This window comes from Homo sapiens, chromosome 5 (genome assembly GCF_000001405.40).
Source record: "Homo sapiens chromosome 5, GRCh38.p14 Primary Assembly".
Taxonomy (NCBI): Eukaryota; Metazoa; Chordata; class Mammalia; order Primates; family Hominidae; genus Homo; species Homo sapiens.
In genome coordinates, this window is record NC_000005.10 from 79393663 (window position 1) to 79413552 (window position 19890).

At 36.5% G+C, this 19890-nt stretch overlaps 1 protein-coding gene across 4 annotated transcripts in view; it reads right to left on the reverse strand.

Moving 5' to 3' along the window:
- HOMER1 (homer scaffold protein 1) overlaps window positions 1-19890 on the reverse strand; it is a 141499-nt gene that overhangs the window by 21027 nt on the left and 100582 nt on the right. For 2 of the 4 annotated variants that reach the window (NM_004272.5, XM_047417894.1), the window contains exons 6-8: window positions 8237-8393; window positions 3865-3975; window positions 3161-3241 (exon numbers count right to left, since the gene is read on the reverse strand). The exons of 1 other annotated variant lie outside the window; for it this stretch is intronic. In NM_004272.5, coding sequence (NP_004263.1) covers window positions 3161-3241; window positions 3865-3975; window positions 8237-8393 — 349 coding nt within the window. The remainder of the gene's footprint in view (window positions 1-3160; window positions 3242-3864; window positions 3976-8236; window positions 8394-19890) is intronic. One more of the 4 variants, NM_001277077.1, reaches the window with a different exon arrangement.

Below are 19890 nucleotides of genomic sequence, written 5' to 3' on the forward strand. Positions count from 1 at the left end.
GCAATTCTTGTTTGAAAGTTTATCTTAAAGAAATAATCAGAAAGGCAAAGATTTATGAAAAAGGTTGTAATATTATTTATTTATAGCATAACACTGGAAACAACATAAACTGCCATTACTATAGGAATGCTGGAAGAAAACTATGATACCTCTATATGGGAGAATTCTATGCAGCCATTGGGCTTATGACATAAAGTTAGATAAAAATGTATACAAACAAAAAATGGTATCTATATCCATCTCTTATAAAGAAAATATTATCTAAACCAACACTGGGACAAGGAAATGCCAGTTACCTTGCCTTAAGATGACAGGATTATGATTTTTTTAATATTATGGAATTATGATTTTATACTAACCTTGCTAAGTACATTTTTTGAAATTTTTCTAATTTTTTTTACAATGGGCATGTTTTTCATAGACATTTATAACAGAAATATCCAAATATTGCCAAATATCAAAAACTCATAAATTAGAAAAACTGTAGCACGGTATCCTTAATTTACCAATAACTATACATTTTCTATCCACATTCAACTCTAAATACTAATCCAACTCTAAATACTGCAATTTCAGGATTCTTTTCCAAGGAATTTAATGATCCCAATTTTCTGTACTGAACTTATGAATGGAGTTCAAGGGTGCTGGGACCTTTGATAAACAGGAGATGTTTCTGTGGGAGGGAGAAGGCTGCAGAGGAGGAAATTTCTTTGAATTGGAAAAAATATGTTATTTTCTGTAGCTTGTTCTTTTAGAATTCATCCTCAGGTTTTCTAAAAGCTTCCCTGTCCTGTTCTAGGTAGGTTGTTTTGATAATATTTTTGATATTCAGTGAAAGGATGGGTAAGAATTATATTCACAATTTCAAGTGCCAGCTATAAAATTCAATTACTGCTCTATCAATGATGAAATCCATTCATTCATACATTTATTGAGAAAGGGTCTCATTCTGTCACCCAGGCTGGAGTGCAGTGGTGTGATCATAGCTCACTGCAACTCCCAACTCAAGCGAGGCTCAAGTGATCCAAGCAGCTGGGACTACAGGTGCACACCACCACTCCCAGCTAATTCTACTGTTTCATTTTTTTGTAGATGCAGCATTTCGCTATGTTGCCCAGGTTGGCCTTGAACTCCTGGCCTCAAGAGATCTTCCTGCCTCAACCTCCCAAAGCACTGGGATTATAGGCATAAGCAACTATGCCTGGCTTCAAATACATTTAGAATTATCAACATTAGAAATTTGATATAAATATATCATCTCTTTGTTTCTCTTCATAAGTGAGACAATGTAAATGTGTATATAACTGAAAATACTTTTTAAAAGAATCATTAAGGATGACTTGACTGTTTGTTGCTTGAAGAAGTGTGGTAATGCAGAAAGAACGGACTTTGGAATAAAATAAATCTAGGCCTCATTACTTTCTAGCTAAGTGCCTTAATTAAACTTGTTAACACCTTTGAACTGCTGTCTTCTCTTTGAAAATGGGGATACCTCACCTGCTACTGTGAGAATTAGAGCTAATGTAAGTTAAGTGCTTAACATATGCTTGAATCATCGCAAGTACCCGAAACCCAAAACAAACGAAAGACAAAACTTGACTGAATTTCCCCCTTTCTTCCAGCCCTGATTCCATGCTTCATATTTAAGTTCTACATCAGGATTTCTCAACCTTGGCATTATTGACATTTTGGGTTGGATAATCTGATTCTTAGCAGCATCTCTGGCTTTGTCTACTAGATATCAGTGGCGCTCCACTAATTGTGAAAATAAAAAATGTTTGCACACATTGCTAAATGTCCCCTGGGCTTCAAAAGTGCCCCAAGTTGATGACCACTAATCTATATAGACGACTAAAATATACAAACGGCATTTAATAGGGCCAACCAAAACAAGTGATCTCATTTTTCCCAGACTACTGAAAGCCAGTGATGGGAAGGGGAGAGGTAAATATTCCATTTTATATAAGGAATCTGTTTATTTCATGAAGGATTATTATGAAGGGGTTTAAAGCCCATGTCTTTGACTACTAAAATAATGTATTTTGACCATTATCTTAGTGGTCAAAGATTTGGATTTTAAAATTTGACTGTCTCCATTTAAATATAGGTTGGACAAGTTAACCTCTCCAAGCTTCAGTTTCTTCATCTGGGTTATTATGACTGTTACATGGATTAAATGCATAATACAGGTAAAGTGCTAAGCCCAGTGTCCGATATGTTGCAAGCACTCAATAAATGTTGGCTGTTCTTATTATAATCTAGGTCCTCTTTCCAATCCTGGGCTTTCAGGTCCCTCTTATTATGCCTTATCTCAGATTCCTCACTCTATACATATACTTATTTCTACTCCAAAGTCATCCTAACCCTTCTTTATTGAGGCACCTAACGCTGAGGGTGTAAGAAAACTGCCTGAGCTGGCAAGAGAAGACTTTGGTAATAAATTCTGAGAAATCTTCCCTTACCATGTCTGACTATCACTGACACATGATGTTTTTTGTACACTGGAATCAGGAAGAATACTATTTATGCAGAAAAAAGTGAGTAAAATTAATTACACTGAAGAACGAAAAGTACTAACTTGTGTTCCATTAGGGCACAACTATTGGTATAATTCATACATTAGTACATTGTAAAATAATAATAATAATAATAATAATGTTCCCAAATTGAATGAAATCAATTTGCAAATTTTTCTTTAAATTCAGGGTTTTCTTTCTTTCTCTCTCTCTTTCTTTTTATTAAGACAGGATCCCACTCTGTTCCAGGCTGCAGTATAGTGGTGTGATTATGACTCATTGCAGCCTCAACCTCCTGGGCTCAAGTGATCCTCCTCCTCAGCATCCCAAAGTGCTGAAATTACAAGTATGAGCCACCATGCCCAAACCCAGAGTATTTTTTTTTAATTAAAAGTAGAAATTTCCAAAAGGATTTACTAAATAATTTACAATTTATAAATGACCATCTATGATAATTATAAGCTACATAGATGAAGTTATCAAGTAACTTTTTAAAAATCAAAGATTAGGCATGAATCAGAAGTCCCGGAAAAGAAAAATGACCAAAAACCTACAAAATGGAGTCTCAGAAAAAAAGTCAGTGCTATGTGAAAAAATGATGCCTTTCTATGCAGAAGTGAATAACAATTTTTACTACAGCTCACCTGTAGTTTCTGAGTCAAAGAATCCCTCTGTTCTTGTAGTTCTCTGGCATTATCAATTTCTTGTTTTAACCTTTCTATTTCCTAGAAAAGACAGAGCAATGTCTTAACATTCAAACTATATCAAGGCAAGGGAAGGTCTTGTTTTTCCCTGAAATTATTGTTCTAGTTCTTAGAAAAAGATGATTTTAAAAACATTCCTTCATATTGACTTTTAGAGGGATGAATTCATCTTTATATGTATGTTGTCTAGAACAATAATCTTAAGCAACAGCAACAAGTCTAACTTGGTGCTTCTGGTACAGCAATGCTTAGAAATAACAACCTGAACATTTTAATGTTGCTTCAAGCTTTGTGGATATAATTCTTTCCTAAGATATTAAAGTTTTGACTGGAACCCAGAGAAACCAACAGCTTTTAAAATCCATTTAACCCCTAATGATTTTCTGTTGACTGTATAAATGCAACTCTCATCTGGAAGGCAACAGGTGGTATCTCGGTCTGACTGCCTCACCACAGTTCATAATAACAGAAATAAGGATAGAGAAAATATGAGCAAGCTTAATACCACTCAAGAAAAATTTCATCCTAAAAAAGAGGTCACAACCTGACTTTATTCCATAAAATACTTTTAAATTTGACATGGAATCTAATACTTTGTACAAACATGTTAGCTAGATTACAGATGAGTAAAAAGCAGCAAATACCTCTTCCTTCAGTTTCAGTGTCTCTTCCAGTTCTTGTATTGTCTGATTTAATTCTGTCTTATGAGTATGTACTGCATTTGCTTGGCTACTAACACATTCAAGTTCAGTCACCTAAAATTAAATGAGAACACAGATTAACTTAAATTTCAACTTTAAAGAGTTTCTTGCTAAATACATAGCCCCAAATAAGTGAATAGTATATTCTGAATAAATATATAAAAATTAATTTTGAGAAATATTAAGACACTCAAGGTAGAGTGAATAGATTCTTCAAAGATATAAAACTAGGAAAAGGGAAAAATAATCATTTACATGGCTTAGTCATAGAAAGGTTAGGATAACTTAAATTAAGTGATTAATGACAGTAGAGAATCCCTATAATGAAAGTCTTCTGTAAAAATTTCTTCCAAAAACATATTCAAGATCAGATATGACCATCTGTCCTTCATCTGTAGCCTTCAAATTCAATATGGGTTCTGAAAACTGGCCTTGCAGAAGTGAGAATTTTTTCAAATACATTTCCAACATGTAAGAGAATCTGGAAGAGAAAATAGGCTTAAAATACAACTTAAATCATTAGATACTGGAATGACTTTACATCAACAGTGTCTCTTACGGGTAAGATAAAATTTTGTTAGTCAATAAGAATTTACTGGGGGCCCAAAGAGTAATATAACTTTTAATGAGCACTTGGTATTTTTTGAGAGAACAGAGAGGGGCACTGTCCTTCAAGTTATACCATCTAAAACTAGAATCAGCAATAGACAGAAGTCAATATAAATACACACACACACACACACACACATGCACACACACACCCTATCACAGTTCTTTACATATATCATGTGCTCATAAAATTTTGGTTTACTAGAAGATAGTAAATTCTAGACTATTAAAGAAACAGAGTAAATCCCTCTCCCTGGCATTTTCCAAATATCAAATTACCCTCTACATTCTGTGATTCTCTCTCTTATATAATTTTCTTCCTTTCTTCTCATGTACTAATAGCCTCGTTACAAACCCTTATCATCCAGACCTGAACAAAACCAACAGCCTCCCAGTGGACTTAATTATAATCTTTTTTTTGTCTATTCTGCAAATTGCTAAGATTCATCTTTCATTCCTGTGATTCCACCATTCAAAGACTTTCAGCAGCTCATCTTTTTTACGGTATCAGATCTAAACGCTCAGATCCTCTGTATATTGGCCCCAACCTTCTCAACCATCCACACTGCCCAAGATACTCAGTGAGTACTTCCAACTAAAAGCAGGCAAATCTCCTTGTCCTAAGAACAAGTGATATTCATTCCCAACTTGTTGATTTAACTAGAATGTCCTCTCTTGCCTCTGAAAACCACTCGGACCTAACCGAACCCTTAACTCTTAGCTCAGCATGTGCTTTCTCCAGAAAGCCATTCCTATCTGCTCAAGTCTTCAAGGCTCTCCTCTGGTTCACAAAACCAAGCATCTGTTCAAAAATCTTGGGAATTATTTCACTTATTGTTTAATGTGTATTTGTTTTGTCTCATTATATAATAAATTCCTTAAAGGGAGTTCCAATTCTGATAATGATGAAATAGTTTTTATTGGAGTAACTTTCCTATAGGTAACAATTGCAAATTGTGGGCAAAATGTAAAAGTCAACTGTTTGAAGGACCTGGTGAGTAACCAAATTGGGCAAAAGACTGCAAGAAAGCAGTCACTTTGGGTGATTTCCACATCTTTTTGCCTGAAGGTACTCTGCAGTCTGGCTGCATTGCTTGACTGAACAAGCAGAAATCCATAGTCTTATTTCTCTGAGAAGCCTGAGAATTTTAGGACTCTGCAGAACACCTGGCACAACTAGGAGTAGGAAAAGAGCTGGAAGGCTGAAAGAACTAAACTGCGATGGTGCTCAACAGAGATGACAGTTTGAAGTTCTGCTAGTCCCTGCTAAATTAGAGGGCCTTGGTAAATACCTCAAGCTTTGCAGTGAAACTTTGGAAAGGGTTATGTCTTAGAGATAAAGATTTCCTAGGACAATGTGATTTACCCTAGGGTTACAGCAAAATTGAAATACATGAATTCTAACAAAGCATAAGTACACAACTCCACAAATTCAAGATAATCTCCAAATAACTGCCTGTTGAAACAAAAACTCAACATTATTCAAAAATAACAAAATCTGTGGTCTCTACAACATCTCATTTGCAATGTCCAATACAAAATTAAAAATGACTAGTCATTTTTCTGAAAAAACAGTAAAATGTAACTTATAATCAAGACAAAATTTATCTAAATAAAAGTGGAGATAATTTGTTGGCAGTACACTTGGAGTACAAAAACTGCTCAAGGAGGTTATTCAGGCTGAAGGGAAACAATACCTGATAGAAATTCAGATCTACAGGAAAGAAGCACAATGGAAACTGAAAATATGTGAGTAAATAAATATATTATGTTTCTTAAGTTCTTTAATATTCAATTGACTATTTAAAGAGAAAATTTCTTAAGGGCAGAGATTACACAATAAGGAGACATGATAGCTCCTTAATATTTTCTGGCTATGACAATTGTCATAAATTTTTTTTTGTGGTAAAAAACATATATCATAAAATTTATCATCTTAGTCATTTTAAGTGTATAGTTCAATAGTGTTAAGTATTTATATTCACATTGCTGTGAAACAGATCTCCAGAACTTTTTTAACTTGCAAAACTGTAAGTCTATACCCATTAAACAACTCTCCTTTCCCCCACCTCTCTTAAGTTAATTTTTACACACAGGATAGAATAACATTTACTCAAGTTTCTAACATTTCCACTCTGTCTCAACTGCATTTCCTTTTCTTTCTTTTTTTTTTTTTTTCTGAGATAAGGCCTTGCTCTGTTACCCAAGCTGGAGTATGCAGTGGCGTGATCTCAGCTCACTTTAGCCTCTGCCTCCTGGGCTCAAGTGATGTTCCCACCTCAGCCTCCTAAGTAGTTGGAACTATAGGGACATGCCATCACACCCATCTAATTTTTGTATTTTTAGTGGAGATGGGGTTTCACCATGTTGCCCAGGCTGGTCTTGAACTCCTGGGCTCAAGCAATCCATCCTCCTTAGCCTCCCAAAGTGCTGGGATTATAGGTGTGAGCCAATGTGCCCAGCTTGGAATTTTTTTTAAAAGGAGAAATTAAAGGCATCTGTTGGGTGAAGCACTTCTATGCCTTGAATTAAAAAAAAAAAAACTTCTTCTTTTTTTTTTTTGTTTTTTAGAGACAGAGTCTTGCTCTGTCACCCAAGCTAGAGTGCAGTAGAGCCATCATAATTCACTGCAGCCTCCAATTCCTGGGCTCAAGCAATCCTTCCCACTCAGCATTCCAAGTAGCTAGGACTACAGGCGTGTGTCCCCATGCTTGGTTAATTAAAAAAAAAAAAGAAAAAAGATTTTTTTTTTTTTTTTTTTTAATGGAGATGGGGTCTTGCCATGTTGCCTGGGCTAATCTCAAACTCTTGGCCTGAGAGCATTAAAACACTTTACAAGTAATTATCTGGGCTTCTGATATTAATGGTATTGAAATTTCTGGTTTTCTTTTTCTGCACCAAATCTCTAATATTACCAAAGTTAATAATTTTCTACTTGTATTTTTCAAATTGTTCCTTCTTTAAAAAGAAAATAATAAAAGCAGCTCATTGACTCACTGCAACTCATTGAGACAGTGCAATTACACGGCACTTAAGTGTCTCAACAAATTTTCATAGGAATTGTACAGAATACATACTTTTGACTCAGTGCAACTACATGCCAATTAAGTATTCAATTAATCTTCACAGGAATTGTACAGAGTACTTATTATTCCTATTTTACAGATGAGAATACTGAGCTGGAAGAAGGAAATAACTTATCAAAGATCATACAGATAATAACCGGCAGAACTGGAATTCGCACTCTGGAATACTCTGGTCTTGTAAACCAGAAATGGAGAATCCCCTCCCCAGGACAACTCAGGAGAAAAGCATTCCCGCTTCACCGTCAACACCCAAAGCTAAAATTCTAATTAAACTACTCCCTGAATTTTTTCTCAGCACACACTTTAACTACCATGTCAGTACTAATCAACTAGCACTAATACATTAGTGCTTTTATGTACTTGTGCATTACTGCTAGTCCCCATGGATAATATGGGGAATCAACATGGTTTGTTGACTTCAAAAGGCGTATATTCTTCATTCTCATTAAACTATGGAAAATATTTTTCTTAATCAAACAAATGCATATCATACAACCCATATCTATGTTCTGACATCCTAGAACTAGAAGATATCCCTGTGCTGAATCTACATGCAAATTTCTTCTGATCAAGAAAACCTGTTAGCCCTAAATCCCTATAGACATCAGCCCTGAAATTACCCGCTTGTGCAGACGTTCTGCTTCCTCTTGATAGGCAGCAAGTTGCTGTTTCCATTGTTTCACATTGGCAGTGGACTCCAGCAGGGCTGCAGTGAGTTTGGCATTATTTCCTTTGAGGGTAGCCAGTTCAGCCTCCCAATGTTTGCTGATTGCTGAACTAAAATAAAACAAAAAGAAAATTCTATCCATTACACCAACTACTGTTACCTTGAAGGGACAGCAAGACTCAGTTCTATTGTAGGGTTTATAGTCTAAGAATGTTTTCTTTTCTTTTTTTTTTTTTTTGAGATGGAGTCTCGCTCTGTTGCCCAGGCTGGAGTGTAGTGGCGCAATCTTGGCTCACTGCAACCTCCGCCTCCTGGGTTCAAGCGATTCTCCTGCCCCAGCCTCCTGAGTAGCTGGGACTACAGGCACACGCCACCATGCCCAGTTAATTTTTTTGTATTTTTTTAGTACAGACGGGGTTTCCCATGTTGGCCAGGCTGGTCTTGAACTCCTGACCTCAGGTGATCCACCTGCCTCAGCCTCCCAAAGTACTGGGATTACAGGCGTGAGCCACTGTGACCAGCCCTAAGAATGTTTTCAAAGACAACCTCAAAATACTAAAAAACACAAATACTTTACCAAAATATTCCTAGTAAAGAAAACCTGGCAAGTGAAGAAATATAAAAAGTACTCAAGTACCAGGCTTAACGTGGAATGTTTCCAACCTTCATTATGACAGATACAGTTATCTACAGAAGAGTTTCCACCCATTCTCTTTTAAGGAATAAACATTATAGCCTGAAAAACATCTATTAAAAAAACCTAACAATGTATTACATTTTTTACGTGTGTCAAACCCTAAAGTACAATGTTATTCCTTAATGAAAACATATGAGGATGCTTAAATGTCATAAGGTTTGGGATATGTAATGTAGTATTTCTTTTGAAATTGTTTTTGATTTATTTCATCTTATTCAGGACCTTAAAATGTCAAAAATACAAACATTTGCTACAATAAACTGATTTCATAGGAAAGGCTAGGCCTACAAACTGGTTCTAAAGACTTGACTTCTGATATAATTCCAGTGTCATAAATAGAAGAAGACTAAAGCAATCACCGTTTTTCCTCATTTAATATTCTACTTGATAAGTTACTACAGTTAAGTACCTCAACTAAAACAATTTTCTACTACAAGACAATTCTTTTAGTTGGAAAGACTCCTCTTGAAAATTCCTTTCCTAACTTTCCAATGAAGAATTGCCTCATTAGAAAGAAAAAGGTTGTTTCTCTTTCTCATTATTGAAGTTTATTTCTATTAGTTAAATTCTACTAACCTCATCCCATTAACTAACTAGTGAGGCTTATAGCTTTCTTCAATCACCATTTTTTGGGGGTTTGATAAATCATTTGTATTCTAGGGTAAATTTGATGGGTTGATATTTTATAGTAATTTTAGCATATATTTTATTTAAAAAGCATAGTTTTCATCACCAAGATTTCTAAAGTTTATCACCAGAAATATGACATATTAGCATCACGAACCCCCTGATATGATGTACAGAGAATGACACAAGATTGTGTCTGTAGTATTCTTGCAATAAATGCGTAACTTCAGTCAAACAATGAGAAAATATCATATAAACCCAAACTGAGGGACAATCTGTAAAATAACTGAAACTCTTCAAACATGTGAAGAAAATGAAGGAAACAGGAAATAACAGTTAAATGCAAGGTGGGATCTTAGGTAGGTTCCTAGAACAGAAAGGGAACATTGGTGAAAACTGAGGGTTAGTTAGTAGTATTGTATCAATGCTACTGCCCTGGATTTGATCATTGTATTATGGTTACACAAGATGTTAACATTAAGGGAAGCTGTGTGAAGTGTATACGGGCACTCTGTACAGTTTTTGTGATTTTTCTATAAGTCTAAAATTAGTTTAAAATGAAAAGTTAAAAATATTCCTAAAGTTTACTAAGTGAGAAAATATCATCAAAACATGAAAGGATAGAATCAAGCAACAAGCTAAGCTATTAACTTAACAATCCATTTCTATCCTGAAAAGGAAAGCTCTTTTCTTATTCTTCCTTTGTGAAATGATTTTTCAGATTCATGTCTTCTGAAAAAAGCATGCATGGATTCACCTGCTCTAACTGAATTATAGATTTTTCTTTAAACCACCTACCAGTTTTTCCCCTATAGAGATGCGTTTTATTTAAATGGAAACTTCAATCTGACGATTGACATCTTAGTGAACTAATTTAAACACTTGTTACATGTCAATAGCAAACACCTTTAAAAATTAACTGGAAGAAACAACAATTATTTACTCCTAAAATCCATTTGTCAAAATCACACAATTATAAAGTAAAATGGATTACCACATATTTATAGCAGGAGAAATAATTTTAAAATGAGGGTGTTTTTCTATTATATTTATGTGGGTTTTATTTTATAGTCACTAGACAGTAAAATCCATCAAGCATTTTATAACTGCTTACATCACAAGTATTCAGTAATTATCTGGGTAACCTCGGACCCAACACTCAAGCACTTTGGTTCTCAGTTCTTTATATGTCAAATAAATAGATCAGTCAAGATCTGTATTATCCAAATATTAGCATGTGGCTATTTAAATGTAATACTTCAAAATTAAAGTAAAAAATTCAGCTTTGAATTTGAGACACATTTCATGCACTCAACAGCCACACATGACTGGTGGCTACTACCCTGGACAGCAAAGATAACAGAACATTTCATCATGACAAAAAGTTCTACTGAACAGTACTGTTCAAGAGGATCTTGACATTCTGCCTTTTCTTTCTTTCTTTCTTTCTTTGAGATGGAGTTTCGCTCTTGTTGCCCAGGCTGGAGTGCAATGGCACAATCTCAGCTCATGCAACCTCCGCCTTCCAGGTTCAAGCGATTCTCCTGCCTCAGCCTCCCAAGTAGCTGGGAGGTGCCCACCACCACGCCCAGCTATTTTTTTTTTTTTTTAATATTTTTAGTAGAGATAGGGTTTCACCATGTTGGCCAGGCTGGTCGCTAACTCCTGACCTCAGGTGATCCACCCGCCTCGGCCTTCCAAAGTGCTGGGATTACAGGCATGAGCCATCGTGCCCGGTCCTGATTGCCTCTTCGATTCTGTGCGTGAGGCTGAACTGTGTCCCTCCAAAACTCATATATTGAAGTTCTAACTCCCAGGATCTCACAGTATGACTGTATTTGGAGACAGAGTCTTTAAAGAGGTAATTAAGGTTTAATGTGGTCATTAGGGTGGGCCATAATCCAGTATAAATGGTGTCCTTACAAGAGGAGGGGATTAGGACACAGACACACGAACATAAAAAGAGACGACAGCCATCTACAAGACGAGGAGAGAGGCCTCGGAAGAAATGACCCTGCAGACGCCTTGATCTCAGACTTCTAGCCTCCAGAACTATGAGAAAATAGATTTCTATAGTTTAAGCCATGCAGTCTACAGCATTTTTTAGGACAACTCAAGCAAACTAATAAACATAATTTTTTAAACCCACATTATGTAACCTATCAATTTGCCCCATCTTCCTGAATTGAAGTACATGGATTATATTTCCTGTTCTAATCAAGCTGGCTTTTCTGTGATGAGCTCTTCTTCTCAATCAGATTCTCATTTTTTTCTATGAATTTTTGTCCAATTTTTTCTATATTCAGAATCTATCAGATTGCATTTTTTCCTTTCATTGATTCAAGTTTTCTCCAACAAGTATTTTCCAGTTATTACACCCATCCTTTCACTTACCAGCAAAACCTGGTGCTTGCCAATCTGTGCAAGCTTAGTCAATGCACTAAATGAAAAGTAAAGGTATTCACTATGAAATAAGTGCAAGGCTAACCTCAGATCAAATCAATTAATGAGTAGTAAATTTTATAACACTAATTTTAATAAAACTTTCAACACTAATAAAAACCTCAAATATAAATATTTTAGCTCTCACATCAGGGATGGAATTTCACACTAGTTTTGGGTAGTAGAATCATATGGAGTTTCTTGACTCCCATTTTAAACTTATCAGGCATGCATATACGGTAACAGGGATTTCATCTATAAAACACTGTAGACCTGGAACATGGAGAATCTACAACAAACCTGTTTAAGAAAAGGTTGGTATTCCTGAACTAGTTGCCTTGTTTTGGCGTAATTTACAAGTTAATACCGATTGGCAGAAGTACTTTTTATATGAGTAGTCTAGGTAGTTATAACACCACATCAATTATTTTAAAACGCTTGACTGTTGAAATATATGTTTAGAGTAGGTTACTAGATTCTTCAAATTCATCCTAGCATTATCCAGTATTTTCATATTTGGTTGGTATTTAGACCCAAGGAAGCTCAAGTTTAAGATACAACTCTGGTAAAATCTTGAAATATACTATACGTTAATGATAAAATCTAGGTAAGTGTAATCATTTTATTTTCTACCTGTATCAAGAAGATAACTTCACAATTTCATGTTTGGAGTGGTACTTATGAGCAAGATGGCTACCACAAGCATTTCTAAGGCTCTTGGGAGCCAGAGATACAAAAGGGAATTTGTACCGTCTTGCAGGCTCTTTACCACAGACTTCTATCAGGTTCTCAGGAGAAAGATTGGAGAGGCAGAGAGAGAGACTAGAGAAAGGATCCTGGATGAGGGGAGAGACTTCCATTTGGGAAATTCACAAAGTCTAGCCAAGACCCTTCTTCTCCACAGGACCAAAATCTTAAACCAATGGGAGAAGGATACCCCTAAATCCTGTCATTCTCCCACTTAACCTGGATTCAGGTGAAGACCTGTTATGGCTGGGGGCAAAGAGAATAAAACACTGTAACTCTGTGAGAGGAACAGAAAATAGTCCTGGATTCAGAGGTCTCTAACCTGTGGGACAGAGGCAGGAAACTCCTACACAAGACTCTCAACTATCACAAGGCTGAATTTACCTGTTACTGGGAGAGGGGCAGGATCACTGAGAAAGCCTCATTTCTGAGATCCTGGGACAAAGGGTCTACCCAAGACTGAGGCTGGACAAAAACAACAGAGAACCCCATTCTGTCGTCTATTATAGCAGCCTTCCACTGCAGGAAGGTCAAGACTGTAGAGACAGACCTTCTTTGAGGTGTGCACACACACAAAAAAAGACCAAAAGATGAGTGTCGAGCAGTGAGTAGAACCCTCTAGCAATCCTAAGCACAAGGTAATGCTAGAGATGTTTAAAGGCTATAGCATACTCATAGTAACCATACCAACAACAAAATCAAAATCCCTTTCAACCCCCAAATGGACTAACTTTCATAATAACAGCCTAGCAGAAGAGTCATACCCATTTCTAGGAGGAAATAGTGTTCATCATTACTGTCCTCCACACAATGTTTAGCATTCAATGAAAAAAAAAATTACAAGATGTATCAAAAAGCAAGAAAAAAAAAACACTCCTCACTGTCAAGAAAGAAAGCAATCAACAGAATCATACTCAGAGATTAATCTGATCTTGATCTTGAATAAATCAAGGAAGTAAGATAGCAATGTTAAAGGTGTTAGTGGAAAGAAGGACATCACGTTCACTCAGATTGTGAATTTTAGCAGAGCAATGAAAACTATGGGAAAGAACCCAACAGAAATGTTAGAAATACAGAACATAACAACAGAGGTGAAGAATGCCTTTGACAGGCTCAGTGAACTTGACACAGCTGCATAAAGTCGGTGAACATGGAAACAGATCAAGAGAAATCAGCCAAACTGAAACACAAAGAGAAAAAAGAAAAAGAGTTTCTAAGATATGAAGGGCCATGTAAACTGTCTAACAAATGTTTAACTAGAATCATAGAAGGAGAAGAGAGAAGGGCAGAGGAAATATCTGAAGACATAAAGGCTGAGTATTTTCAAAAAATAAAAGACATGAAACCACAGATGCAAAAAGTACAAGAACATATTATACATAGAGGAACAAAAATAACAATTACAGTAGCTCCTTATTCATTGTTTCTCTTTCTGTGGTTCCAGTTACACATGGTCAACTATAGTCTGAAAATATTACAGTATGATAAAATATTTTGAGAGAGGGAGAGACCACATTCACATAACTTTTATTACAGTATATTCCTATAATTGTCCTATTTTATTATTAGTTCATGTTGTTAATCTCTTACTGTGCCTACTGTAGAAATTAAACTTTATCACAGGTATGTATCTACAGAAAAAAACATAAACATAAACCCTACATATAGGGTTCACTACTATCCATGGTTTCAGGCATCCACTGGGAGTATGCAATATATCCCCTGTGGTTAAGGAGGGACTACTGCATAGTAATACTTCATCACAGATGATGCAATCCAGAAGACAGTGGAGTGACAGTGTTGAAAGAAAACAATCCTCATCCTAGAATTCTACACATAGGAAAAATATCTTTCAAAATGAAGGTGAAATAAAGAGTTTTTCAGGTAAACAAGAGCTCAGATAATTTATTACTAGAAGATGTGTCCTACAAGAAATATTAAAGAAAGTTCTTTAAGTGAGAGTATGACCCCAGAGAGAAATGTAGATCTACACAGAGATGAAAATTATTAAAATGAAGATAATTATAAAAGGTCCAAAGGTATGATAATACGAAGGAGAAATAACAGTCTTTTAAACAAATGGTGCTAAAACAATTGGATAACCACATACAAACATAAATAAATCTCAACCCATATCTCATAGTCTATACGCAAATTAAAAATATAAAACTTCTATAAGATATAAAACTATAAAACTTGAAAAAATTCTTTGTGACCTTGGGCTAGGCAAAAATTTCTTAGATATTATACAATACCAAAAACATGGTCCATTAAAAAAACTGATCACAGGAACTTCATAAACTTAAAAACTTCTCTTTGAACAACACTATTTAAAAATTGAAGAGGCCAAGGGGGTGGCTCATGCCTTAATCCCAGCACTTTGGGAGGCCAACATGAGTGAATCACTTGAGGCCAGGAGTTTGAGAACAGAATGGCCAACATGGCAAAACCCGTCTCTACTAAAAATACAAAAATTAGCTGGATGTGGTGGTGGGCGCCTGTAATCCCAGCTACTCAGGAGGCTGAGGCATGAGAACTGCTTGAACCTAGGAGGCAGAGGTTGCAGTGAGCCAAGATCATGCCACTGCACTCCAGCCTGGTTGATGAAGCAAGATTTTGTCTTGAGAAAAAAAAAAAAATTGAAGAGCTCCTGGAATGCAAAGATGGTTCAACATACAAAAATCAATGTAATGACCAGGCATGGTGGCTCATGCCTATAATCCCAGCACTTTGGGAGGTCAAGGTGGGCAGATCACTTGAGGCCAGGAGTTTGAGACCAGCCTGGTCAACATGGTGAAACCCTATCTCTACTAAAAATACAAAATTAGCCAGGCATGGTGGTGAATACCTGCAGTCCCAGCTACTCCAGAGGCTAAGACAGGAAAACCACTTGAACCGGGGAGGCGGAGGTTGTGGTGAGCCAAGACTGCTCCGTTGCACCCCAGCCTCGGCGACAGGGCAAGACGTCTCAAAAAAAAAAAAAAAAGGAGAAAACCTTTGTGACATTGGATCTGCGATGATTTCTTGAATATGACACCAAAAAAGCACAGGCAACAAAAGAAAAAACAGGTAAGGTGGACTACATAAAAATGAAAAACTTCCATGTGCCAAAGGACACAATCAACAGAGTGAAAAGGCAATCCATGGAAAGAGAGAAAATATTTGCAAATCATCTATCTGATAAGGGATTAATATCTAGAATATATAAATAACTCCTATAACTCAACAATAACAATTTAAAAATGAGCAAAGAACTTGAATAGACATTTTCCCAAAGAAGAGAAATAAACAGGTGCTAAGCACTTGAAAAGATGTTTAACATCATTATCATCAAGGAAATGCAAATCAAAACCACAATGAGACACCACCTCACATCCACTAGGATGGCACTATCAAAAAACAAAATCAGTGTTGGGTTGGTGAGGAGGTGGAGAAAGTGGAACCCTAGTACGCTGTTGGTAGGAATGTAAAATGGTGTAGCTGCTGTGGAAAACAGTATGGCTGTTCCTCAAAAATTTAGAATTATATGATCCAGCAATTCTACTTCTAGGTATATGCCCAAAAGCAGTGAGGCAGGGTCTCAAATAATTTTCTTTTTACAATTTTCTTTTTTCTTAGATACCAAAAATAAATTTTTATAATAAAACATAGGTATTATAAATTTGAATCTGAGAACATTCTTGCTTCTTCTATTTTATGAGCTGCTCCTTTAATAATCTGTCTTTCTAGAGCAGTATGAAATACAACTTAGGGCCAGGCATGGTAGCTCATGCCTGTAATCCCAGCACTTTGGGAGGCCGAGGCGGGCGAACCACCTGAGGCCAGGAGTTTGAGACCAGCCTGACCAACATGGAGAAACCACGTCTCTACTAAAAATAGAAAATTAGCTAGGCATGGTGGCGCATGCCTGTAATCCCAGCTACTAGGGAGGCTGAGGCATGAGAATCGCTTGAACCCAGGAGGCGGAGGCTGCAGTGAGCTGATCACACCACTGCATTCCAGCCTGGGTAACAAGAGTGAAACTCTATCTCAAAAAAAAAAAAAAAAAAGAAAAAAGAAATAGAATTTAGGAAGTAAAATGTTTTTGATTTTTGTCAATCTTCCCTGTTCTCTTTGTAGCTTCTTCATATATTCCTTTCATCAAGTATAATAAATGCTCCTATTAGAATACCCTACACAACTTCAACTTATAATAAATTCCAAACACCCATACCTCTCAATAGTTTGCACATTAATTTTGAAAAAAAAAAAGTTCCTTTCTTTAATATTCAAATCTAAGATATCACATTTCTCCTCCATTAGACTTACATTTAGCAACAATTAATACCTTAGGATTAATTCTGACACCAAAATTTTCAGTTAGCATCTCACTTTTCAGGAATACTTGTTTAGAACTGTTGGGGAGGTTCTCTGTTAATTTGGTTTCTTTTTTATAGGTACAGTTTTGGTAGTTTTACCTTAAGAGAGCTGTTCACAAAGAAATCACTAAAGTGCTTAGTTGGAGAGACCAGTGATTCAGAAAATACACTGAAACACCATTATGATCTCACGTCTCAACGCTGGAGTAAGGGCAAACCAATTCTTTATTCTTGTGGCTGTTCAGTAAAGTTTCCCTTCAAAATGGACCAGCTGGTTTCCTGTTGGCTTCAAATCTAGAGGGAGTTCAAAACACTTCAAAAACACCATTTGAAAGGTTCCTTAAACTGGAATTTTACAGTTTTTCCCTATCTAAAGTCAAAGTTCTGGCCAGGCACAGTGGCTGATGCCTATAATCCTAGCACTTTGGGAGGTAGAGGAGGGCAGATCGCTTGAGCTCAGGAGTTCGAGGCCAGCCTGGGCAACATGGTGAAACCCAACTTCTACCAAAAATAGAAAAATTAGCCGGGCGTGGTGGCATATGCCTATAGTCCCAGCTACCTGTGGGACTAAGGCAAGAGGATTGCTTGAACCCAAGAGGTCATGGCTGCAGTGAGTCAAGATGGCACCACTGCACTCCAGCCTGGGTGACAAAGGGAGACCCTGACTCAAAAATAAAATAAAAATAAAGTCACAGTTGTTCTATGAGAAGATATTAAACTTCATTAAATTAGCTATGTAAAATCAAGAAGAAAAAGTACTTCAAAAGGCTCTATTTTCAAAATAAGAGCTTAATGTATGAGCAATATACTTATCTAACCTGCAGAGTGAATGCTACATGTGAATGGTCACTTGCAGAGTCTAAGAAAGCTGCCTCTCTCCCATTCCTCCAGGGCCTAGGACCCATTATTAGAGTCTCTATAATGGTAACGCCTTGCATGTACTTTTTAGGCATGTTAATTATGTAGAACTGAGAAAAATATTCCGATACTCTTTCAAAAAACAATTTAAAAACAGGGTGCAGCTGGGTGGAGTGGCTCATGCCTGTAATCCCAGCACTTTGGGAGGCCAAGGCGGGTGGATCATTTGAGGCCAGGAGTTCAAGACCAGCCTGGCCAACATGGTGAAACCCCATCGCTACTAAAAATACAAAAATTAGCCGGGTGTGGTGGCAGACGCCTGTAATCCCAGCTACTTGAGAGGCTGAGGCAGAAGAATTGCTTGAACCTGGGAGGTGGAGGTTGCAGTGAGTGGAGATCATGCCACAGCACTCCAGCCTGGGCGACAGAGCATGACTCCATCTCAAAAAATTAAATTAAATTAAATCAAATTAAAATAAATAGGTTGCAGTAGGTTTTTTTCTTAACATTATTCTCTGTATCAGTAGTGGGGTCAATCCCTAACTATGAAAGCACTCCACAGCACTGCTTGTCTCAGGATCTGCCTGCTGGGTTGTCTCCTCACTTCCTATTCCAGAACTGTGAACGCAGAAGCAACCAATATTGACTTAAAACTATTTGTGTCCAGTCTACTAAAAAATACTTGGAACATTGCAGAGTGAGATAAGCTCAGGAAAGCAACCTCTTAAAGTTATCTGTGTTTATAAGCTTATTCCTGAGCTGTGCATTTGAGGATCTGCTCTTAACAGTCTACACACTTTGAGAACTGAACAGTGGCATATTCCATTACCCAAGTCTCAGACTGGTTAATGTGTAGTGCACACATGGGACAGATGCAAATAGCCCTGCAAGAAGACTTGAAAACTGAACTGGTATTGGAACTGCAGCTCACAGAAGGCTCACGGAAACTTGCAACTGTTGAACCTAACTAACTATGGTCCCCTAAAACAACAATATCAACATTCTCCATAGGATATAAACAAGACCCAGTGTCTCATAACATAATAGACAAAATATCTGGAATACAATTCAAAATTAGTTGACACAAAGAATGAGGAAAATCTGAAGTTGTATAGACAATGATAGTTCAATAAACGTCAGTGACGAGATGACACAGATGTTGGAATTATCTCACAAAGACATTAAAGCAGTTATGAAAATGCTATAACAACTAAGGGCAAATACAATAGGAGGGACTGGAAAGGGAGAAAGTTTCAGCCATTAAATAGAAGATATAAGGAGGAATCAAATGGAAAATTCAGAACTAAAGAATATAATAACTGAAATTTAAAAATACACTGAATGGACCCAATAGCAGAATGGTAGTGAGAAAGGAAAGGGTCAGTGAACTTAAAGCTTAATCAATACAAATTTTCCAGTTTGAACATCAGAGAGAAAAATGGGAGAAAAATTTGATAGAGCCCCAGGAACCTGTGGGAAATACTAGAAAGTCTAACATTTATGCAATCTGACTTTGAGAAAAATAAGAGAAAGAGTACAGTTCAGGAAGACTACTTAAGGAAATAATCACAGGAAACTAGATTATTGGCAAAGTCAGCAAAAGACAGAAACACAAATTCAAGAAGCCCAAGAGAAATACAAGTGCAAACATATCCTGTATCACATGTATTAGTCATACATCACAATTCCCCATAGCCTAGTTATATAGGTCTCAGGACTCCTTATCTATTAAAGTATATAACCCAAGGAAATTGTATCTTTAAACATTAAAAATATATATATTTAGGGAGTATAAATGCAGATTTCTTACATGCATATATTGCATAGTAGTGAAGTCTGGGCTTTTAGTGTATTCATCACCCAAATACTGAACACTAT